Below are 24579 nucleotides of genomic sequence, written 5' to 3'. Positions count from 1 at the left end.
GCGATTCTCCTGCCTCAGTCTCCTGAGTAGCTGGGATTACAGGCGCCTGCCAGCACGCCCGGCTCATTTTTGTATTTTTAGTAGAGATGGGGTTTCACCATCTTGGCCAGGCTGTTTTCAAACTCCTCACATTGTGATCCACCCACCTCAGCCTCCCAAAGTGCTGGGATTACAGGCGTGAGCCACCACCACACCCAGCCCTGGGAATGGAGTCTTGATTCTTCTCTGCCCCTCACTGATTCTTCCAAACTGGAAACCCTGAAGCTGAGAGCCCAGCATGGTTCCTGGCAAACAGCAGGCACTCAAATATTGATTGGTTTACTGTATGACTAGTAGAGACCCCAACGAGCAAAACTGTGGCCTAATAAAATTCTGGCTCCTCTCCCAGACTTCCCCTCCCTTTGAGAAATGCCAGAAGCTTCTTAGGGAGGCTCTTGCCAACCTAGACATCACAGGCACTCATGGGGCAGCTCCAGCCTCTTCCTCCTGTCATCACCATAATGCATCCATATCTACAATATGGCAAATTTCATATCCTTCCAACCTCTTTCCTGCATTATTGATGGGCTGTGTGCACTTTTTAAAAAATCAATTAGATCAGGGCGTGGAGCTGGAGTTCAAAGAAGCCTTTAAAAGTCTGCTCTTCTGTTTTGCTGTTTTGAATAGGCACAGATAAAGCTTTCCCTCTGGTTTGAATAAGCCAAGCTCAGTGCTAGGTTGGCTCTGATTGGCCAGGACTAGGAAAATGCGGTTAAGATGCAAACACAAGCAAATATAACCCAGTATCTCTGCGGCCATTACTAAGCTAAGGCAGCAGGACCTGGAGCCTCCTGCTTTGGAGTGGTTCTTCAATACTGCTGCTGCTTACGCGCCGGGAAACTGGGAAGGCTGGTGAGCGAGAAGGCAAGGTAAGGTCTCTGATTTACGGGGGCATGCCAGTTAATCCTCCTGAATGAGGAAGAAATGAAAGGAAGAGGAGCTTGAGAGTCCCTTGGCTTTGTCTTCTGAGATGAGGCTTTTAAAATGAACCAGGAGTCTGGCTGGCCAGTTTTGCAAACTTCTTGTTCAGAAGAACCCCTTAGAGGCAGCTGAACATATAGGGCACATTTTCAAAAGCTGGGAAAGACAGACCCCTTTCACCTATCCCTAGAGAAAGATGGTATGGAGCAAGGCAGGAGGAGTTAAAACCAGCTTCCTGGCCCAGAGAGGTGGCTTACACCTGTAATCCCAACACTTTGGGAAGCCAGGGCATGAGGATTGTTTGAGCCCAGGAGTTTGTAACTTGTGACCATCCTGGGCAACATAGTGAGACCCTGTCTCTACAAAAAAAAAAAAAAAAAAAAAAAAAAAAAAAGCCAAGCATGGTGGTGCACACCTGTGGTCTCAGCTTCTCAGGAGGCTGAGGCAGAAGGATCACTTGAGCCCAGGAGGTGGCGGTTGCAGTGAGCCGTGATTGTACCACTGCACTCCAGCCTGGGTGACAGAGCAAGACCCTGTCTCAAAAACAACAACAACAAAAAACAGCTTCCTCTGCTCAGGGTCCGTCCAAAAGGGCATCTCTGAGAATTACAGGCCACTGGCTTTTAACCTGACATTTCAAAACTGTGCCCCACACCCAAGGGGTTTCTGCAGTCCTCTCAAAGGATACTGAATTAGGATTTAGGGAGAAGGAGAGACCCAGCTTTGGGAGATTTGATGTCAGAACTGTGTTTTCTGTGTGTTCCAGTGTGACAGGAAGTCCCTTCCTGGAGCTTATCCTCTCGCATTCGGGGTGCCTGGCCCAGGGAGCTCCTTGATTCCTAAATTCCTGCTGGGAAACGGGACAGGTTTCAGCCTCTGAGGCTCACAGTCCTAATTGCTGCCGGCTGGTTTGGCTTTTACCAGGGTGACAGTTCTCTGTCTCCAAGGAATGAATTCAGTGGCCCTTGTCCCCTTCCCCTAGTTGGCTCATGGCTTTTGCCTTTAATGACTGCTACGTAGGGTCTGAAGAAAACCCAAACACCATATTTCCTGGCAATTCTGAGCAGCACAGGGTGGGGCAGCACAAGTTATCAAATTAAATTCTCAAACACTGGCTGCTCCGCACCATTGCCTTGCTTTAGTCCTGCTACAGCAGTAGACAAAGCGAGTCTGCTTTGAGCTTTATGGTTTTTTGCCAAAGTCCATACTAGATGGCGCATGCTCTCCAAACTTGGCTTTGTCCATCAAGGTTCAAGAAAACAATGGTCAGACATGTTCCTCTTAACAAACAGTATGTCCCCAAACAGCAAAAATGCATACAGTCCTTTCTGGGTGAATTTTTAAATCTTACATAAATCCATCAACCCCATCCTTTTTCCTTTGCCTCTTGGGAGAAATTAATCTAGCTTTACATTAATTATGCATGTTATCAGATTTCAAGCTCCTTGAGAGCAGGTATTTTAATTCTATAAAGCCTCTACGTGGCCTTGGACATGGGTAGGTGCTTAATTACCCAAGATGCTCCTTGAATACAGATGGTACACGACCTACACAGACTTAGATCTTTACCACTTCCCCCCTCTCCCCACCCTGACTTGCTCAATCCTGAAGGAACTGGAGACGTCTAAGTGTCTGAGGTTCACGCTTCCACACAGAAGCTTGGGTCTGTGTGGGAGGGAAAAAGGAAGCCATCTGTCCGCAGGCCAGACCAGGCCACACCCTGCTAGCACCCAGAACCCTTTGTCCCAGGCCCAGCCCTGCCATTTTACTTTCCTTGCATCTGGAAAGCACAGGGAATATAGTAGTGACAAAAGAAGGAAGGGTTGTTTGAGTTTAAGAATAGTTTACTCTAAAAAAAAAAAAAAAAAAAAAAAAAGGACAAAAGCCAAAGAGAAGGTCAAAGTTGACTGTGGAGAAGGCCTTGCAAGCAGGGAACTTGGGAAGAATTGGAATGAGAGTGAGAGAAGGCAACTGAGTTTGGAAATATTTTTTCTGACTAGCTTTTCTTTCCAAATGCCACTGAACTTAGATTGGTTTAGGAAGGGTTGTAGTACATCAAAGTGGCTAGAAGCACAGGTTTGGGGATCAGATAAGGATTTCATTCTAGAGTGTGATCTTGTACAAGTTATTCAGCCTTTGCAAACCTCAGATTCACACAATGTAAGATGAAGAAACTCACCTTCTGAAAATTAGAGATAACATATGCAAAGTGAATCAATACAGGGCTTAACATATTTATCACCCCTTTGGTAAATAACCATGACGATTACCAGAGCTCTTAAGGGCAATGGCAGGTGGGAAGCAGAACTCATGGGTGGTAATCCCCAGGCCAGCCAGGCTCACCATGTGCACTTGGACAAGTCCTTGCCCCCATCATTGTGAAATGGTGCAGGGATGCACCATGAGGGTGTGGCAGGATGGCTGACAACAGACTGGGAAGCAGCTCGGCAGAAAAACTGGATTGATGCCCACTATGGCAAGAGATATCATCTCCCCTCTTGTTCTGTGATGTTTCAGTCCTGGAAAGACAAGCATCATGCCTCTGACCAGTGCCTTCAGGGCTGTGGACAACGACCCTGGGATCATTGTCTGGAGAATAGAGGTGAGCTGGGCTGGAGGCACCTTACTTGTGACCACTGGCATCTGGAAGCAGTCTGGCTGCCTGGGGCTGCTAGGCAACAGCCCGCCAGCACCCCTTAGCCTATGGTTTGAGGAGAATGAGAGGCAGCATCAAAGTACCTATTTCCCATCCTTCACCTCTCCTGGGTGCTCAAAGCAGGTGGTTGGCAGGTGGAGGAAATGTTCAGCCCCGAAGAACAGGGCTCCAGACAAAAACAGGCTTGTCCTTTAGCCAGCCACCTGCTCAGTGAGTCTGCACTTGCAGGAAACACCCTGGAAAGACAGGTGGGACCTACTCAGCAGACTCCTGGCAGCTTCCATCAGAGAAATGGAACATGTCTTCCACGGGGCACCCTGGCTCCTACAAAATATGGGGAGAGGTGAGGGGGCACTGCAGAGATGAGGAGCTGTTCAGCCCGTCTCCTCTTGGGCTTGGGACCCTCTGTGCGGCTGTGAGCTCCAGCAATCCATAGCTGGGAACCACCCTGGCCTGGGTAGCTCCACCTGCCAGATACGAGGATTCCCCCCAACCCCTGCCCTGAGCCCAGTCAGTTGCTGCTGCCTAAAACCCAGCGATGATGCCTCACTTCACTATCCTCAACCAGGAGGGGGAGTCAGCTCTCCAGCAAGCCTCGCAGAGATTGTGAGTCCCAGGTCACTTCCACTGTTTGAAGGCTTCCAGTTTCCTTAAAAACTAACAGGTACTGGCGGGGTGCGGTGGCTCACGCCTGTAATCCCAGCACTCTGGGAGGCTGAGGCGGGTGGATCACGAAGTCAGGAGATTGAGACCATCCTGGCTAACACAGTGAAACCCCACCTCTACTAAAAATACAAAAAATTAGCTGGGCATGGTGGCAGGCGCCTATAGTCCCAGCTACTCAGGAGGCTGAGGCAGGAGAATGGCGTGAACCCGGGAGGCGGAGCTTGCAGTGAGCCGAGATCGCGCCACTGCACTCCAGCCTGGGAGACACAGGGAGACTCCCTCTCAAAAAAAACAAAAACAAAAACAAAAAACAAGTACTAAAACACGGTTACCAGATTTGCAGTATATTTAACATTTATCACATTTTACATAGAACACACACAAGTATGGCCGCAAGTTTCCCTCACTTGGGGAGTGTGATGAAAATCTACATCAAGGCTGTGTGAACAGTCCTCCAGGGCCAAGCCATACATGCAGTGATAAATCAGGGCCCTGACCCAGACTCCAAATATAAGACACTTGGCACAGAGCCCTGCTGACCGCTGGCACTCTCCAAATGTTATCCTCCACCTCCCACGGCCCCACAGAATCCAAGTGTTCTTTCTTACATGGGCCTGGGCCAGCACCCAGTGGTCAGCGTTGGGAAGAGCGTTGGAGGTGCTGGCACAACGGCTCAGAGAAGGGTTTGTACTTGGTCGTTTATATCCAGCAAAGGGCTGGAGGTGGTTCACAGGTTTCCCACAATAGTGCGAGATGAGATCGGGTGGGAAGTAGAGTGGAGAATAGGGCAAGGGAAAGCAGGATAGGGACCAAGGTTCAGATCCGGGGTGATGCAAGCAGAGCTCACAGAAGCCAGAGGGATGGCCACGTTAACCCTGTGGCTGGCAGCCTCACATCCTGTAAGGTCATTGAGAACATCTCCCCTCCTTCTCCCCACCACCTGCACCGAATGACAGAGAGGAGAGGGAGGCTCATGGGGAAGGGAGGTGGGAGGGGATGTAGCCTATACCCACCCCTTGTCCTTCCAGAAAATGGAGCTGGCGCTGGTGCCTGTGAGCGCCCACGGCAACTTCTATGAGGGGGACTGCTACGTCATCCTCTCGGTGAGCACCCTCCTCCCCACTCCTGTGAGCCTCTCCCCTGGGGCCAGTTCTTGGGCTGTACTGGGAGATGTGCTGGTGAGGGAAGGTAGTCAGTCCCTGGTATCGGTCTCAATGGTTCCTCAGTGCTATGCAGAGCAGACCTCCAGTCTGACTATCAAAGGCCATCATTAAGCCTGGGTTTTTAATGCTGCATAAGAGGATGGGGGTAGGACCCTCAGTCTGAACCTCAGTGAGCCACCCACAAGCAGCACTTCTCCCGGGCCTAGGCCCCACATTAAAGTGGTGTGGAAGAAGGCCTGATAAATGCAAGGCCTGTCTCTAGCCTCAAAGTGCTATTCTCATGGAGGAGACTCACATGAACGGTGCTGACAGGGTCGTGCAGGTGTACAGATGAGCACTGTGCCAGCTGTGTGAGTGCAAGGGACCAAGGGGACCTGTGAGGTAAGCCTGCAACCCGGCTGGGAAAAGATCCCCGTTGGTATCTATTTATTTGGGGAACAACAAGCTGTCAACTTTCCCCAAATGCGGGGAGGAATTTGGGCTGCCAAAGTTTATGCCATGATCGCAGGTCTGCTCGGGGGCCAGGGCAGCTCCCACATCCACTGCAGGAGAGAGGGCCCTCAGTCTGCCAAGGGCATGCACATGTGCTGCATTCTCCCCATAACAGGGGCCAGCAGCAAAGGGGAGGTGAGCTGGCCTCTGACCTGATCTCTCTGACTACCTCCCAGACCCGGAGAGTGGCCAGTCTCCTATCCCAGGACATCCACTTCTGGATCGGGAAGGACTCCTCCCAGGATGAGCAAAGCTGCGCAGCCATATATACCACACAGCTGGACGACTACCTGGGAGGCAGCCCTGTGCAGCACCGAGAGGTCCAGTACCATGAGTCAGACACTTTCCGTGGCTACTTCAAGCAGGGCATCATGTGAGTAGGGGTGCACAGAGCAAGGACAGAAACAGCAGTTTACAGAGGAGGAAACCCAAAAGGCCAACATGCATTATCAAGAAAGTAATCAGAGAAATGCAAATCAAAACAAAGCTGTCACTTCCACCCACTAGAGCAGCAGATTAAACAGCTGGGAGGTGCCAAGTGTTGGCAAGGCTATGGGGAAATAGGAGCCCTTGTGCCCTGCTGATGGAAGTGTGGACTAGCGCAGCATCCTGGAGAGTAGTCAGTGCCACTTGCAAATCCCACTTCTGCATGTGTAACTCACAGAAATCCTCACGTATCCAGGTCCATAAGGGCACATGGACCAGACTGTTCATAGCAGCCTCATTAATGATGTTAGGAAGCTGCAGGCAACGTAGGTGTCCATCACTCGGAGACTGGACATGCACACCACGGAGTATTATGCAGTAGCCAGAAGCAACAGATTAGATACACACCTAACACAAGGACAGAGCTCACAAACATGGTGCTTAGCACACAAAGTAAGAAACAGACTAAGACATATAACAGAATGCCAATTTCTGTTTTAAAAAGCACACGCATGGCCAGGCATGGTGGCTTACGCCTGTAATCCCAGCACTTTGGGAGGCCGAGGCAGGCGGATCACGAGGTCAGGAGTTCAAGACCAGCCTGATCAACATGGTGAAACCCCGTCTCTACTAATAATACAAAAATTAGCCGGGCATGCTGGTGCACACCTGTAATCCCAGCTACTCGGGAGGCTGAGGCAGGAGAATCATTTGAACCCAGGAGGCGAAGGTTGCACTGAGCTGAGATCATGCCACTGCCCTCCAGCCCCGCAACACAGCAAGACACCATCTCAAACAAAACAAAACAAAACAAAAACATGCACACAAAACAACAGGATGGGTTGGGCGTGGTGGCTCACACCTGTAATCCCAGCACTTTGGGAGGCTGAGGCAAGAGGATAGCTTGAGCCCAAGAGTTCAAGATCAGCCTAGGCAACACAGTAAGACCCTCATCTCCACAAAAAATATTTTGTAAAAAAGCTAGCCAGGCATGGCGGTGCACTCCTATAGTCCTAGCTACTCCATGGGCTGAGGGTATTGAGCCCTCAATTATCGAGCCTGCAGTCCCTGATGAGGATCACTTGAGCCCGGGAGGTCAAGGCTGCAATGAGCCATGATTGCACTATTGAACTCTAGCCTGAGTGACAGAGTGAGACCCTGTCTTTAAAAAAAAAGGTGGGGGACACAGTTTACTAGAATGAAAATAAAAAGGTCAACAGTTAGAATGGAAGCGTATTGGGGAGAGGAATGGGAGTAGGACAGGCAGATAAAGGGAATGCACAGACACATAACACTAGAGAGGGAGCGAAGGCTGATGATAATGTTCCATCAACTGAGAAGTTTAACTCAAAACTTTGCCCCTGATATTAAAACAAAAAGAGGAATTCCAATGAGCTTGAGAATTGTGAGGCTGGGCCAAGATCAGCTTCTTGCAGGTCAGCAGTCTCCACTGACTGAGGCCCTTCTGGGCACAGAGGAGCACACTGAGCCACTGGGGAACCCAAGGACAGAGCCCCTCTGCTCCAGGGCTACCTTCCGCATTCCCTTAAAGTGCAGGACCCCTGGCTCGGAGGCTGGGCTGGGCTGAGTGCAGGGCGGGTGAGCTGATTCCTAGGGTAGGTGGTCTTAAGGCCGTGGAGTCATTAATGCTTCTGCTGCAGCACAACTTGTATCCCTCTCCCAGTAACACACTGGCATTCAGACAGTTCCTGGAACAAAACAAGCCCTCTGTGGTGCAGGGGTCTTTGTCACTGATGTCTCCTGGACACTGTTATAGTGCCTGGAGCACTATTCTTCTGGGTATTGGTTCATTTTCCTTGTAGTATCTCAGTTCAAATGTCATTTCTTCAGAGAAGACTGCCCCAACTCGCTACCAGAAAGTCACTCACCCAGTCTACTTGTGGGGCAGCAGCTGCCACCATCTGTATTTACCTTGCTGATGTACTGTCATCACATGAGTGAGGCTGCATCTGTGTAATTCACCACTGTCTCCCCAGAACCTAGCACATAGCAGGCACTCAAATAACTGAATGGATGTTCCCTTAGCTACAAGCAGGGGGGTGTCGCCTCTGGGATGAAGCACGTGGAGACCAATACCTACGACGTGAAGCGGCTGCTACATGTGAAAGGGAAAAGAAACATCAGGGCTACCGAGGTTAGTCCTGCACACTCTCTGCCCCAGGCCCGGGGCTTCTCCACCTGGCACCTAAGAATTCCTCCTGAACAATGTTTACCTCTCATCGACAGGTGGAAATGAGCTGGGACAGTTTCAACCGAGGTGATGTCTTCTTGCTGGACCTTGGGAAAGTCATCATCCAATGGAATGGCCCAGAGAGCAACAGTGGGGAGCGCCTGAAGGTATGGCTTCCTAGCCTTAGCACTTTCTCAAGTTCCTCTTTCTTCTTCCCTCCATGCTGGCTCTTCCCCAAGAATCAAGGTGGAGCCCTGCCTTTGAGTAGAATCTGTCTTGGAGACAGGCCAAGTGTGTGAGTTTGTGACTCACCCTGGACTCCTCAGCATCCAAGTAACTCCTGTGTCTGGGATCTAGGCTGTTCTCCCCAAAGACATCAGGCAGAAAGGGGTCCCAGAGGAGCTGAGGGCTTCCTTGGGCTTCTTTGACAGGCTATGCTTCTGGCAAAGGATATTCGAGACAGGGAGCGAGGGGGCCGTGCTAAAATAGGAGTGATCGAGGGAGACAAGGAGGCAGCCAGCCCAGAGCTGATGAAGGTCCTTCAGGACACCCTTGGCCGACGCTCCATTATCAAGCCTACAGTCCCTGATGAGATCATAGATCAGAAGCAGAAATCAACTATCATGTTGTATCAGTGAGTAGCTCAACCTGGTTTTAGCTGGAAGCTGGGGTTGGGGGGAAGGTGTCCCCTAGAACACCAGCCACCTCTGCTTGGCTCCTTGTTTTGGGTGTAGCCATCTGGTTTTCTTCTTAGTCCTTTTCAAATGCAGCTCCTAGAAAGCTTGGAGATCCCCCACTCAAGGAGGCAGTTCTTGTTAGCAACTCTCCTGATCTCTTGAGGAGACCTTTCCTTTACTCTAGCCTACACATGCCCAGGGATGTGGAAGGGATAATGTTTGGGAGAGAGATGAACAAAAGTCTCCACCAAAGAAAAGAGTCTGCACATTCCTGTCCTCACTCAAGTCATGGCTGTCTTAGGCAGTCACACTCTACCTAGAAACTCCAAACTAAAACCAAACCAGAACAACATCTAGTTGACTACAAGATGCTTTATAGAGGAAAAGGCACAGGCTAACCTCTCCCCTTCTCCAGTATCTCAGATTCAGCTGGGCAGCTGGCAGTCACAGAGGTAGCAACAAGGCCTCTGGTCCAGGACTTACTGAACCATGATGTAAGTAGAGTTTGGGTGGACTTAGCTTGGGGTAGCCAGACATGCTTCAGAAGCAGACCCTGTGCAAAATCTTCCTTCTGGTCTTGAGCAACCATACCTATCTCTGGCTGCTTTAGGACTGCTACATCCTGGACCAAAGTGGAACCAAAATCTACGTGTGGAAAGGAAAAGGAGCCACAAAGGCTGAAAAACAGGCAGCCATGTCTAAAGCGCTGGTAGGAGCTACAGATGTGCAATACTGTTCAAATAATTCTGCTAAGAGCACTTCAGGTGTGTCACTCCACAGAGCCATGCTAGGTATTTGAGCATATAACATTGTGCTTACGTACATGGACTGCAAAGTCAGGCAGACAAACTGGGATTCAAATCCAGGTTTTGTCTTTTCCAGCTGTGTGCTCTGGGGAAGACATACTTAACACCTGTGGGCCTCAGTTTCCCCATATCTAACATGGGGGTCATACCCATCTCCTAGGGTTATTGTGAGGATTAAATATCATTTGTAAAGCACTCAGGGCCGGGCGCAGTGGCTCACGCCTGTAATCCCAGCACTTTGGGAGGCCGAGGCAGGTGGATCACCTGAGGTAAGGAGTTCAAGACCAGCCTGCCAACATAGTGAAACCCTGTCTCTACTAAAGATACAAAAAAAATTATCCAGGCATGGTGGCGCATGCCGGTAGTCCAGGCTACCTGGCAGGGCACTGAGATAGGAAAATCACTTGAACCCGGGAGGCTGCAGTGAGCCGAGATCACGCCACGGCACTCCAGCCTAGGTGAGAGCGAGACTCTGTCTAAAAAAAAAAAAAGCACTCAGAACAGTTCTTGGCACACAGTACCTGCTGAATAAAAGGTGGCTGTTATTATTGAAGGGGATATCACATATCAAGGTTAATGGCCCTGTCCTCAAGGAGCTTATATTTGTGCAGATCCATGCAGATGAACCAAGCCAGAAGCAATAAATGAGCAAACAAATGTGATGCAAAGTCAGTAAGGACAAAAGTACTGAAAGAACACAGCATAATCATCCTAAAAATTAACAACCATAATCACCGCAAGCCAATAAACAGATCCAAAAATGTTCCACTCAGTCATTTTTTTTTTAGGCAGGTACCTTGGTCCTTAGACAAAAGTGAGTTAGAATTTGACTCTGACTCCCAGAGGGGAGACGCTTATATCATGTGGCTTCATAGAGGTGAATTACCAGACAAGCAAAGAACTCAGTGTATTCCACCACTGACCTGCCTTTGGGAATGGGTGGCTCTGCAGGGCTTCATCAAGATGAAGAGCTACCCCAGCAGCACCAATGTGGAGACCGTCAACGATGGTGCTGAGTCGGCCATGTTCAAGCAGCTGTTCCAGAAGTGGTCAGTAAAGGACCAGACCATGGGCCTGGGGAAAACGTTCAGCATTGGTAAAATTGGTGAGACTGCCCCCAGATCATCCTCTCATTGCTAAGACTCTAGAAAAGCAGGCACAGATGCTTCTTACTCACTCGGCTTTTCCCAACCCTTTCTCCACAGCTAAAGTTTTCCAGGATAAATTTGATGTGACTCTGCTACACACCAAGCCAGAGGTAGCTGCCCAGGAAAGAATGGTCGATGATGGCAACGGAAAAGTTGAGGTAAGCCCAATGATTCAAATGTCAGGGCAGACAGCACTGGCCTTCATGGCTGTCCTGCTGGGGGCAGGGGTGCAGGTGATTCTGTGTCTGCTTTGCTTTCCCTTTCCCCTCCGGCACCTCAGGAGTCTTCTTTAAGAGTCTTGTGAGTCTGTAGAGTTTTCAGGGTAGTGAAAGGCACATCCTCAAATGTGCTATCAATATCTCACCTGGAAGATATATTCAAATCATTGCTCAGCCTTGCAAAGACCGAGCCATGATGGGATGCTCCTGAACAGGATGGCCCAGTTCATCTCACGATTCAAATCATGCAAATGTGATGAGTCCTCAGCACTGGGAGAGAACCAGAGGGAGAAAGGGAACATGGAGTAAACGTCAGCACCTTTCCCACCTGGATTCTCTCTTTAGTGTGGCCTAGCCCCTCTCAGCACCCCCATCTCTGGAAAACGGTGTCTCCTTCTATGCCCAGGTCTGGAGAATTGAGAACCTGGAGCTGGTCCCTGTGGAGTATCAATGGTATGGCTTCTTTTATGGGGGAGACTGTTATCTGGTCCTCTACACATACGAGGTAAATGGGAAGCCACATCACATCTTGTACATCTGGCAGGTAGGCCTGGCACAGGCTTCAGCTTTGGATCCTGATGTGTCCTCTGGCCACTGGGCTGGGGCGGGGAGCATGGGTCCTTCATGGCCTCTCACCATTGCAGGGCCGCCACGCCTCACAGGATGAGCTGGCAGCCTCAGCATACCAGGCAGTGGAGGTGGATCGGCAGTTTGATGGGGCTGCTGTGCAGGTTCGAGTCAGGATGGGAACGGAGCCACGCCACTTCATGGCCATCTTCAAAGGGAAGCTAGTTATCTTTGAGGTGAGGATGCTCTGATAAAATTACACCATGAGCTGGAACGTTCCAAACTAACAAACCAGCACAGGACTATTGGAGAGCAGAGGAGGGGTGGGGTAGGGAGTCAGGCTTGGATTAGACAGAGGAAGAAGGGGGTTAATCCCTCTAAGACAGTCAAGTGAATCCCAACTGCCTAGGGCTTCAAGTCTGAACCACTATCTAAATTATGTTCAAGGTCTTTCATAACCTGACCCATATTACCTATGCAGGTGCACCACCCTCAGCTCCCTAACCTGCACCCTCCACTCCAGTCAGGTGGGTCTCTTCATTAGACCTCACGTGTACCATACCATACCCCTCCTGCTTCAGATGTGCTCTTTCAAATTCAAGTCCCACTTCTTCCATGAAGCCCTGGCTGAAGCACTACCAAGCAATGCGTAATGGCACATGCTTGATATCACACAAGTCTGGGGTCAAGTCCTAGCCTTGTCATTTACTAGTCAAGTTTCCAAGTCTCAGTTTCCTCATCTGTACTATGGAATAATAACATCTACTTCATAAGAGTTATAATGAGGATCAATGAAATGATGTAGGTAAGCACCAGTCACAGAGCCTGGAATATGATAAAGTTCTCAGGATGAAAGTTGTTGTTATCGGTGACATAACTCCAGCTTACCCTGACCCTTTCCAGTGAGTCTAGAAGCTCCTCAAGGGCAAACATAATACTATAACATTCACGTTTCCCACAACAGCTCCTCTAGCACTCTGCTCACATGGTGCTCCTTAGATCTGGACTCTGCTTTTCTTCTCTCTAGGGTGGGACTTCCAGGAAGGGAAATGCCGAGCCTGACCCTCCAGTAAGACTCTTCCAAATTCATGGAAATGACAAATCTAACACCAAAGCAGTGGAAGTTCCAGCCTTTGCCTCCTCCCTAAACTCCAATGATGTCTTTCTGCTGCGAACTCAGGCAGAGCACTACCTGTGGTATGGCAAGGTAGGATGGCTGGGCCCCGGGTCAGACCAGCCCCTCGGAGCCCAGACCTGCACTCCCCTCCTCCTGTCAGCAAGGTCAAAGGACCTAGAGTAGGCTGGAGTGCTTGCTTTGGCAGCACATATACTAAAACTGGAATGATACAGAGAAGATTAGCATGGTCCCTGTGCAAGGATGGCATGCAAATTCATGAAGCGTTTGATATTAAAAAAAAAAAAAAAAAAAAAAAGCTGGGCACGGTGGCTCATCCCTGTAATCCTAGCACTTTGGGAGGCTGAGGCAGGCAAATCACGAGGTCAGGAGTTCGAGACCAGCCTGGCCAACATGGTGAAACCCCATCTCTACTAAAAATACAAAAATTAGCTGGGCATGGTGGCACACGCCCATAGTCCCAGCTACTCAGGAGGCTGAGGCAGAAGAATCTCTTGAACCAGGGGGCGGAGGTTGCAGTGAGCCGAGATTGTACCACTGTACTCCAGCCTGGGCGACAGAGTGAGACTCCGTCTCAAAAAAAAAAAAAAAAAAAAAAGCCAGGCACAGTGGCTCACACTTGTAATCCCAGCACTTTGGGAGGCCGAGGCAGGAGGATCACAAGGTCAGGAGAACGAGACCATCCTGGCTAACACAGTGAAACCCCGTCTCTACTAAAAATACAAAAAAAATTAGCCGGGTGTGGCAGCATGCGCCTGTAGTCCCAGCTACTCGGGAGGCTGAGGCAGGAGAATCGCTTGAACCCAGTAGACGGAGGTTGCGGTGAGCCGAGATCGCGCCATGGCACTCCAGCCTGGGCAACAAGAGTGAAACTCCATCTCAAAAAAAAAAAAAACTCACTGAAAGCCCTGCTTACACCTAGCAGAAATCTCATAAACTTCTATGCAGATGGAGGCTGGATAAGTCAATCTTCCCATGTGAATTTGGTGGACTCTAACAGACAGGCACTAATACAGAACAAAAACACAAAATATGATGTCAATTCATATTGCAATAGTGGATTAAAATGCACTAAGGCCGGGCGCGGTGGCTCACGCCTGTAATCCCAGCACTTTGGGAGGCTGAGGCAGGCAGATCACCTGAGGTCAGGAGTTTGAGACCAGCCCGGCCAGCATGGTGAAACCCCGCCTCTACTAAAAATACAAAAAATTAGCTGGGCATGGTGGTGCACGCCTGTAGTCCCAGCTACTCCGGAGGCTGAGGCAGGAGAATTGCTTGAACCTGGCAGGTGGAGGTTGCAGTGAGCCGAGATTGCGCCACTGTACTCCAGCCTGGCTAACAGAGCAAGATTCCCTCTCAAAATAAAATAAAATGCACTAAAATTATTTTACAAAAAAGAACAGGAAAAGATGCTTAACATCATTAGTCACTAGGGAGATGCAAATCAAAATCAATGAGATAACCACTACACATCTATTAGAATGGTTAAAAAAATTGACAACATAAAATATGAGCAAGGATGCAGAGCAACAGGAATTTTCATGCATTGTTGGCAGGATTGCAAATGGTACAGCTTCTGGAAAACATTTCGACAGTTTCAGTTTTTTTTTTGTTTTTTTTTTTGAGACAGAGTCTCATTCTGTCGCCCAGGCTGGAGTGCAGTGGCGCGATCTTGGCTCACTGCAACCTCTGCCTCCTGGGTTCAAGTGATTCTCCTGCCTCAGCCTCCCAAGTAGCTGGGATTACAGGCGTGTGCCACCACACCCAGCTAATTGTATTTTCAGTAGAGACGAGGTTTCGCCATGTTGCCCAGGCTGCTCTCGAACTCCTGACCTCAGGTGATCCACCTGCCTCAGCCTCCCAAAGTGCTGGGATTACAGTAGGGAGCCACCACGCCCAGCTGACAGTTTCTTACAAAGTTAAACATACACTTACCGTATGATCCAGCAATCCTACTCCTGGGTATTTACTCAAGTAAAACAAAAAACTATCTTCACAGAAAAACCTGTGCACAAATGTTTATAGCACCTTTATTCATAATCAGAAACAACCCCACTGGAAAATGGATAAACAAACAGTAGTACATCCACATGATGGAATACTTCTCAGCAATAAAAAGGGATGAGCAGCGCGCTGGTAAACCCAACAGAGATCTCATATGCATTCTGCTAAGAGAAAGAAGCCAGACTGAAAGGCTAAATATTGTATGACTCCACTTACAGCATTCTGGAAAAGGCAAAACTATAGTGATGGAGAATAGATTCATGGTTACCAGAGGTTAAGGATTCAGGGAGGCTTTGACTCCAAAGGGGTCGCACCCCAGATAATTTTGGGACGGACTGAGGAAGAAACTGTTCTGTGCCTTTATTGTGGTGGTAGTAACATGATTCTGCTTGTGAAAATTCTTAGAATTGTATGTCAAAAGAGTATATTTTATTGTATGTACTTTTAAAAATAAATTTAAATTTTTTCTCTAAAATAAAAATCAAAAGTAGGTGCCTAAATTCAAACTGAAGCTGAAACAAAGGTGACTTTTGCCAACACCCACTGTGGGTTTCAAAGCCTAGTCCTGTTCTTTGCCCCACACTGTTTTCCTCCCCACTCCCCAGCACTAGAACAAACTTGTCTGTCTTCCCAGGCTGAGGGACTGTGGTTTGGTAGCTGATCCTGGCACACTGAGTTATTAGTCTCAGATGCTTTTCTTTCCACATCGAAGTGCCCCTGTGCAACTAACATCTGTGCTCTCCTCGCCCCACTCTCAGGGGTCTAGTGGGGATGAGCGGGCAATGGCTAAGGAGCTGGCCAGCCTTCTCTGTGATGGCAGCGAGAACACTGTGGCCGAGGGCCAGGAGCCAGCCGAGTTCTGGGACCTACTGGGAGGGAAAACTCCCTATGCCAATGATAAAAGGTATGGGAACACAGCCTCCCCCTCTTCTGGGCTCCCCCTGCCTGCCAGGCTTGTGAATTGCACAAAGGCTAAAACCTCAGTTTTAAAAACATTTCTAAGCAGCTTGATGCCCTTAAATGGACTATATTGCAGACTTCAGCAGGAAATCCTAGATGTCCAGTCTCGTCTCTTTGAATGTTCCAATAAGACCGGCCAATTCGTTGTCACTGAGATCACAGACTTCACCCAGGATGACCTGAACCCTACTGACGTGATGCTCCTAGATACCTGGGACCAGGTAAGACACAGCTGCAGAAGTCAGAACATGAGAAAGACTCCCACAGTAAGGGTTGTTTTTGTGTAGTATCCCCACCCTAGAATAAACCCAGGGTAGCCCTGGACCATCCCCAGCTCAATCAAACCTTTGTCAGCAGTGACCAAAAGAAAGCCCGGGTTTTTTTTCCAGGGGTGATGTTTGAGAATGATGTTTGAAACTCACCATCCTGGGCATTTTCCCACCTTGCTTTGGAAAAATCCAGCCATCCTATCATCATCCTATCATCATTTTAGTCTTAGGATCAATAGCAACGGACTCCACATGCAGAGGATATGGGCCTTTGGGGGAACAAAGGCAGTCAGTAGACTATTGTCATGGTCAAGTAAGAGCTACTGTGGGCCCACATAAGGGCAGTGGAGTAGGGATGGAGGGATGGTGACAGATTTGACAAATGCTTAGGAGGTAAAGTTGGTCAGCCCTGGTGACTCATTGGATATGGGGGGTTTCTAGGAAACTCTCAGGCTTCTGCCTTAGGTGACTAGATAGATACCACCTATCAAAAGTGGAGACTCAGATACAAGTTTAGTAAAGAAGAGCTACATCCTGAAGGTGTTATTTTTAAGGTGCTTAGAGCAGTCAAGAGGAGGTGTTCTGCAAGAAGTTGGATTCAGGAAGCTGAAGTTCAGAGACAGCTCCAATTTGGAAAGGCAGACCTGGAAGATACACATAGCAATTAAAATGATAAACATCAAGCTGATTCTGGGAAAACCTTTCTCTGCTGAACAAATTAGGCTGAGAAAGTTTTCTGAGGCTGTGAATTGCTCACGAAAGAAAGGGGAAAGATAGGGTAATGTGTATGATCTAGTACTTAGTCCTTGGTATGAACACAGTAACATATATTAAATCTCCACCTTAACAGGTGTTCTTGTGGATTGGGGCTGAGGCCAATGCCACGGAGAAGGAGAGTGCCCTTGCCACAGCACAGCAGTACCTGCACACTCACCCCAGCGGCCGAGATCCCGACACACCAATCCTGATCATTAAGCAGGGGTTTGAGCCTCCCATCTTCACAGGCTGGTTCCTAGCCTGGGACCCTAACATTTGGAGTGTAAGAAAAGAGAGTAGGGAAGCTCTAACTTCCTGCCAGGTAGCTCAGAACAGCTCAGTGGGCAGGAAGGTGGAGTACTGATTCACGGCTCAGTGAAACCAGGACCTCATTTCCCTACTCCCATCCCACTCCCTGCCTTTTACTTTTCTCCTCTTTTTCACCTGCCACAGCAGTAAGTCCAGGTGGACAATTCACAGCAGGTGTCAGCAATAAGCAGTGTGAAGTATAAACAGTTTATAAAGTATATCCATACACATCATCTTTTTGATCTTTACAACAATCCTGATAGCCAGTAGAAGTATTGCTCCCTATTTTATTGATAAGGAAGCTAAGAGGATAAGTCATTTGTCTAAAGTCACAGTTAATCAACAGAAAGCCAGGTTTCCTGACTCCTAATCAACTTTTTTTTTTCTTTTTTTGAGACAGAATTTCGCTCTTGTTGTCCAGGCTGGAGTGTAATGGCACAATCTCGGCTCACTGCAACCTCTACCTCCTGGGTTCAAGCAATTCTCCTGCCTCAGCCTCCCAAGTAGCTGGGATTATAGGCATGCACCACCATGCCCAGCTAATTTTTCTATTTTTAGTAGAGATGGGGTTTCACCATGTTAGTCAGGCTAGTCTTGAACCCCTGACCTCAGGTGATCCACCCGCCTCAGCCTCCCAAAGTGCTGGGATTACAGGCATGAGCCACTGTGCCTGGCCTTCAACTGCTCTTTCTTAAATCTTATTGGGAGGACTGAGGGGTTACCATCAAAGAATGTGCGTTATGTTTAAGCACCTTTCAAGCCTGCATGGACCCAAAAGGGGGGATTTTCATTTTTACTTATCCTTGAAATGTCTTCTGACTCCCTGGCTCTTTTGCTTTTCCTGAAGACACAGACCAGACCTAAGATGTCCCTCCCCTATAAGAAAGACCTCATCCTGTGTTTTCTCTCTCTTCTTCTCAGGCAGGAAAAACATATGAACAATTAAAAGAAGAGCTGGGAGATGCTGCTGCTATCATGCGAATCACTGCTGTGAGTCGGGTTCGCTCTTGGGAGAAGCCAGCCACATGGGCAACCAGAGCCAGAGAACACACAAATGCTACAGATGCTCACAGGCAAAACTCATGTCCTTAGTATTACCATAGTTGTCTGTTTTGATGTAAAGACTTTTTGTAATCAATAGAAAAGCAGGTCTCAGAGCCAAGTTCCTTATTTTCCTGACTTCCAGATTTTCAAACAGACTTGCTGTGTAAAAACAACAAAAATGGGGCCGGGCGCGGTGGCTCATGCCTGTAATCCCAGCACTTTGGGAGGCCAAGGCGGGTGGATCACCTAAGGTCAGGAGTTTGAGACCAGCCTGACTAATATGGTGAAACCCCGTCTCTACTAAAAATATGAAAATTAGCCGGCCGTGGTGGCATGCGCCTGTAGTCCCAGCTACTCGGGAGGCTGAGACAGGAGAACTGCTTGAACCCAGGAAGCGGAAGTTGCTGTGAGCTGAGATGGCACCACTGCACTCCAGCCTGGGCAACAGAGCGAGAGTCCGTCTCAAAAACACAACAACAAAAAAATGAATATTTGTTTTATTATTCAACTCTGCCGTTTAAGGAGAGATTAAAGTCATTGGCAGTATTTTTCAGAAATAAGCTTCTAACCCAAATGACATTTTTATTCATTTCTGACAGTGAAGTCCACAGAAACTTAGGCCATTTACACCTATTTTAATGGTTAAAAGAAGTGGAGCCTCTAGCCAGGAATCCAGCAGTTCTTTAACCTCAGGAGGAGTGCATGGCACCAGGTGTTCAAACCATCTGGCAATTCTGTCCTTTGTGCTCTACAAACTCAGATTCCAAAGCTAATGTTGATGTAGTATCTTTAAATTGTATTTAAGTAGGACTACAACCTAAAGTCATTTAAAGGCTGGAAATGCAGGGCTAAATAAAAGTACCAAGAGAAGGTATGTGATCCCAATATTCAAATGAGATCCAGACACAAGATGTATGCCAAACTAGCTATACAGGACTTGCCTTGGACTTACTGAATCAGCTTTCCCAAGAACAACCCCAAAATCTGAATATTTTCTATTCCCAGATGATTCTGACATGCAGCCAGGTTTGGGGAGCATTGTTATCAAAGATGATTACAGAGGGTGAAGTGGCATAAGTCAAAATGTTAAATATTATACACATTCAGAACTGTAACCACACAGACACTGAGGAGTCTTTTCCCTGTGCCTACATTCTTATCTTACCTAGGACATGAAGAATGCAACCCTCTCCCTGAATTCTAATGACAGTGAGCCAAAATATTACCCTATAGCAGTTCTGTTGAAAAACCAGAATCAGGAGCTGCCTGAGGATGTAAACCCTGCCAAAAAGGAGGTGAGTGGCTGAAGGAACTGTGTCTGTTGGAAGTGGAGCTCTCCGTGAGTAAAAAACTCAGCTCAGCAAATGGCCTAGGACAGCTCCGGCACATTGTAGCCGCTCAATGGACATCTGAGCTACCTAGGAACTCAAACCAAAAAAAACCAGGGTTCTTTCTTGATTCTTTTCTCTCCACCTACATCAGTCTATCAGCTAGCTTCTGTTCACTCCTCTTCCATTTCTCTGCTACTAGTCTAGTCCAGCTATCATGGACTACTTACTACAATCCAACTGGTTTCCACCTGTTCCTACAATCCGTTCCCCACACAACAGCCAAAGAGATCTTTAAAATATATGGCACGGCCCTGTTTAAAACACCTGGAATAGCTTCCCACTACATTTAAAAAAAGAATGTGAAGGCCTATACAATCTGGCCCCTGCCTAGCTCTCTGATTTCATTTCATATACCAATACCCTCATCACTCACCACCCTTCAGCCAGTACAGCGGCTGCTTTGCTGTTCCTTAAAACATGCTTATTCCAGCCTTTGAGCCTTTACACTTGCTAGTGTTCGTGCCTGAAAAAACATCCTTCTCCCAAATCATCACAGCACCAGCACCTTCTCATCATGTAGGTCTCAGCTCTAATATCACCTCCCCAGGGAGGCATTTCCTGACCACCCTAATACTGCTTCCCATACCTGCTCCAGTCCCTTTATACTTGTTCATTGCCTATTTCCCCCTCTAGTAATATCCTTAAAAGGAAGGACCTTTGTTTGTCTTGCTCACCATCATATTCTCAGCTTCTCTGCACCTACAACAGTGCCTAGCAGATAGCAAGTATTCTTAAGTTTTGCGTGAATGAATTAACATATTTGAGTTAAAAGAATAAATTTCTTGGCCGGGCACGGTGGCTCATACCTGTAATCCCAGCACTTTGGGAGGGTGAGGTGGGTGGATCACGAGGTCAGGAGTTCGAGACTGGCCTGGCCAATATGGTGAAACCCCGTCTGTACTAAAAATACAAAAATTAGCCAGGCGTGGTGGTGGGTGCCTGTAGTCCCAGCTACTTGGGAGGCTGAGGGAGGAGAACTGCTTGAACCCGGGAGGCAGAGGTTGCAGTGAGCCGAGATTGTGCCACTGTACTCCAGCCTGGGCCACAAAGCAAGAATCTGTCTCAAAAAAAAAAAAAAGAAAAGAAAAGAATAAATTTCTTTTCCCCTTGAAGAAGTTGATTTAGGCACAGACTCTGGACTCTGGATTTCCCACAATGTCTTATCTAGTCAACTCAAGTATCTGGACTACAATTTTCTTGAAAGCAAAGCCCATATATTAATAATCTTTACTTGTATATAAATATTCAATAAATCATTAAGTAAATGTGTAGAAGAATTTTATGCTCAATAAGATCCACCCGATCATGCATTTGAAAATTTATGGGTAAAAATGGTAGTTACGGGCAGAAAACAAGGAAAACCATAGCTCAATTTAGTTCTTCATTCTGCCAAAATTTGATGTCTGTAATTCATCCTTAATACATAACCCATTTATTGCCTTCTGGCAAGAAACTGGCGCTTGCTGGCACTGTGAGAGCAGTGAATCCAGTAAGCTTCTGCCACAGGCCAAAATGGGACTCCCTGACCTGAAGAACACCTCTCCAATGAATAATTTAAATCTTTAACAGCCTTTCTGAGAAATTCATTCTACTTCCCTCTTCAAGGATCCACCTAGAACTCCCTCTTGCTCCAACTTCCTCAACTTCTGTTGGCAATGATGTCATGTCTTCCTTCTAACTAGAAACTTTGTTTTCTCTCTTAGAATTACCTCTCTGAACAGGACTTTGTGTCTGTGTTTGGCATCACAAGAGGGCAATTTGCAGCTCTGCCTGGCTGGAAACAGCTCCAAATGAAGAAAGAAAAGGGGCTTTTCTAAAGCAAGAAGGCCTATACCTATTGCAAGGCCACAGAAAAGAGCAGATAGTGCCAATATCAGGAAATAATTTATCCACCAATTTCTGCCTGACATTCAGCTACTTAATTTAGATATAATAGAGTCTGCAAATCACGGCATGTTCTCCATTTTTTCTCATCCTTGCATTCCTTGCTTGTTATATACCTAAAATGTTAACCATATAGTTTTTGGGTTTTGTGGCCCTCTAGCTAAAGCCTCAGCAGAAAGCACTAAAACTGCATAAATCTGGAGAAATCAAAAGAAAGAGAACCAAAAAACAATGCTTAAAATGTTTAATAACTTTATGTTTAATATTATACCAGGACCTACCTTTGTTTTCAATTTTAAGATGATTATTTCTAAAATCTATTTAGCCTGTAAATCATTGAAATCATATATGCACTCCATAGGCAAAATCCAAATACCCAGATCTGTAATGTGTCAAAGCATTTTTCACTTTTCAAATAAAGATACCTATAATGAACAAATGGAGTTATTTTCAGTATTCTGGGTCTGCTTGTTACGGTAATTTTATGTTATACTTGAAGAAATGTTTCAGTACTGGGGAAGTAAAGAGGCAATGTTAAGTGAGCTCTCTGGGTAACTGGACTACTCTAATTTCTGTTTCTGGCACAAGAATGTCAAAATCTGCCTTACAGCTGGCCAGGAAACCTCAGTACCCACCCACCCACACATCATCCAAAAGAGAAATAGGGGCATGTGTTATTAATTTCATTAAATGAGGCCAGAACCAGTGTGTCTACCACTGCAGAGCACCTTCAAAGCATACTACAGACAATCACAAAGAAGAGAACCCACATTTTCCAGACAACTCTAGGTTTGAATCAATAATCCTAAAGAAATCCATGTGGCACAAGTAATATAACTAGGGAGGTTCCGAGGCAGAAGCACGGTTCACAGTGTCGCAAAGCAAAAACAGAACAAAAGAGTTCTATGTCATAAAAGGTGTAAGACAGAACATATAAGTTAGAAATTTCAGAAATACCATAATAAATCTATGTTGAAGGGAGCAGCAGTATTGTTGATGCCTGTTCTCCACGACACTATCACGTCAATAAGGCCCACCTGTTGTTTTTGAAAGGCACAGAAAAGCTAAATCCAGTATTACGCAAACAAGGAAAAAATTATTTTTATTATACAACTATTTAATAATTTTACCCATGCATTCTCGGTCTGAAGAGGTTTGGGAAATATTCCTTTTTGTAATGATGTCCAGAGCTAAAAGTAAATATTCCTCCTGGGCCAAAAGTCTCTGGAACCTATTCAGTTTCTGCTGCCTCTTCACCTTCTCCACATTCAAACCGCACAAAGTCTACTACCGACACCCCCTGAGGCTGCACATACTGCCCCAAGGTAATGGAGGGATCCAGCAAATACGGCTGGGACAGCATCTTAGTCTCTGCCTCTCCCCCAGGCTCATCGTCCAGGGAGCCAACAGAGAGGGGGGCCATGCCCACCACATGCTGCCCAAGGCGGCGGCCAACGTCTTCAAGGTTTGTTTTCTGTTCAGACGTCTCACAGATGACCAGGGCCCCATACTTCCCCAGCACCAGCTTGTGAAGTGAGGGACTCTGCATTGCTCCGTGGACATAAGAGCCAACGTAGAACCCAGATGGCACCTTCACCCATGCAGCTCGTTTAAGAATCATGTTTTCTCCCAGTTTTCCTATTAAAGCAAAAACAAAAAACCAACACACCAACAAATTGTGATGTCTGTGATGGTACCAAAATATGCACAGAAGAGGCCCAGTTTGGAAGACAGTCCCTTTGCATTTACATAGGATATGCAGTAAGATGAAGAGATACCATTTTCAGTTTTTGTAGAAAGAGGAAAAGGGGTATGGGGCAGGAGAGCGGGAGTGGGGGAAGTGAAGAATACCTTTATGAAGCACCAACTATGTGCCAGGCACTCTGGTACTTAAAAACAGGCCGGGTGTAGTGGCTCACGTCTGTAATCCCAGCACTTTGGGAGGCTGAAGCGGGTAGATCACCTGAGGTCAGGAATTCAAGACCAGCCTGGCCAACATGGATGAAACCCTGTTTCTACTAAAAATACAAAAATCAGCTGGGCGTGGTGGTGTGCACCTGTAATCCCAACTAATCAGGAGGCTGAGGCAGGAGAATCACTTGAACCCAGGAAGCGGAGGTTGCAGTGAGCCGAGATCGTACCATTGCAGTCCATCCTGGGAACAAGACTCTCTCCAAAAACAAAAAAAACAAAAAAAACAACAAACATAGGTTGTATAGGTTGTGGTGACACAAGTATGTGTGACTCAGGTCTCAGTTCTGCCTATTTACTGACTATATGACCTCGGGCAAGTGACTCAATGACATAATCTCATTTACTAAATTTATCAAGCCTTTGTTTCCTCACCTTTAAAATAGAGATGACACCACCTACCTTTCAGGGTTTTGGGGAGAAATAAATAATATATGTAAAAGCAGCCAGCCGTGGTGGCTCACGCCTGTAATCCCAGCACTTTGGAAGGCCGAGGCAGGCAGATCACCTGAGGTTGTGAGTTTGAGACCAGCCTGACCAACATGGAGAAACCCCGTCTCTACTAAAAATACAAAAAATTAGCCAGGCATGGTGGCACATGCCTGTAATCCCAGCTACTCGGGAGGCTGAGGCAGAGGAATTGCTTGAACCTGGGCAGCAGAGGTTACAGCGAGCGAGATCATGCCATTGCACTCCAGCCTGGGCAACAAGAGCAAAACTCCATCTCAAAAAAAAAAATTTATATATATATATACATATATATATATATATGGAGCATTAACTAGGGCTGGGTGCGGTGGCTCACGCCTGTAATCCCAGCACTTTGGGAGGCCGAGGTGGGCGGATCACAAGGTCAGGAGATCGATACCATCCTGGCTAACACGGT

General features: G+C 47.3%; 2 protein-coding genes and 1 pseudogene across 13 annotated transcripts in view; 2 read left to right on the top strand and 1 right to left on the bottom strand.

Moving 5' to 3' along the window:
* Window positions 1–802: 802 nt before the first annotated feature.
* On the top strand, window positions 803–22157 carry AVIL (advillin). 9 transcript variants are annotated; one of them, NM_006576.4, is made up of 20 exons: window positions 803–908; window positions 3478–3562; window positions 5311–5385; window positions 6114–6310; window positions 8410–8518; window positions 8611–8721; window positions 8986–9188; window positions 9647–9725; window positions 9842–9940; window positions 10989–11142; window positions 11243–11343; window positions 11810–11947; window positions 12048–12206; window positions 12998–13177; window positions 15868–16013; window positions 16146–16290; window positions 17189–17377; window positions 18325–18393; window positions 19617–19742; window positions 21542–22157. In NM_006576.4, exons 2-20 carry the CDS (start codon window positions 3497–3499, stop codon window positions 21653–21655), a joined length of 2460 nt encoding a protein of 819 aa, NP_006567.3. In that variant the 5' UTR covers window positions 803–908; window positions 3478–3496; the 3' UTR covers window positions 21656–22157. The 9 variants fall into 9 exon arrangements, with proteins under 9 accessions (NP_006567.3, XP_047284066.1, XP_047284070.1 ...); XM_047428110.1 differs by having other exon boundaries at window positions 15868–16290; XM_047428114.1 differs by having other exon boundaries at window positions 803–3562.
* On the top strand, window positions 13277–13383 carry RNU6-1083P (RNA, U6 small nuclear 1083, pseudogene; annotated as a pseudogene).
* TSFM (Ts translation elongation factor, mitochondrial) overlaps window positions 16681–24579 on the bottom strand; it is a 20070-nt gene continuing 12171 nt past the window's right edge. For 3 of the 4 annotated variants that reach the window (NM_001172696.2, NM_005726.6, NM_001172695.2), the window contains one exon: window positions 21950–23360. In NM_001172696.2, the coding sequence (NP_001166167.1) occupies window positions 22954–23360 (407 nt within the window). In that variant the 3' untranslated portion in view covers window positions 21950–22953. Of the gene's footprint in view, window positions 16983–21949; window positions 23361–24579 lie in introns of those variants that run through there. The other variant, NM_001172697.2, reaches the window with a different exon arrangement.

The sequence above is a fragment of the Homo sapiens genome, chromosome 12 (assembly GCF_000001405.40).
Source record: "Homo sapiens chromosome 12, GRCh38.p14 Primary Assembly".
NCBI classification, from domain to species: domain Eukaryota; kingdom Metazoa; phylum Chordata; class Mammalia; order Primates; family Hominidae; genus Homo; species Homo sapiens.
Note: the sequence above shows the minus strand (reverse complement) of the source record. Positions and strands in the feature narration are given on the sequence as shown.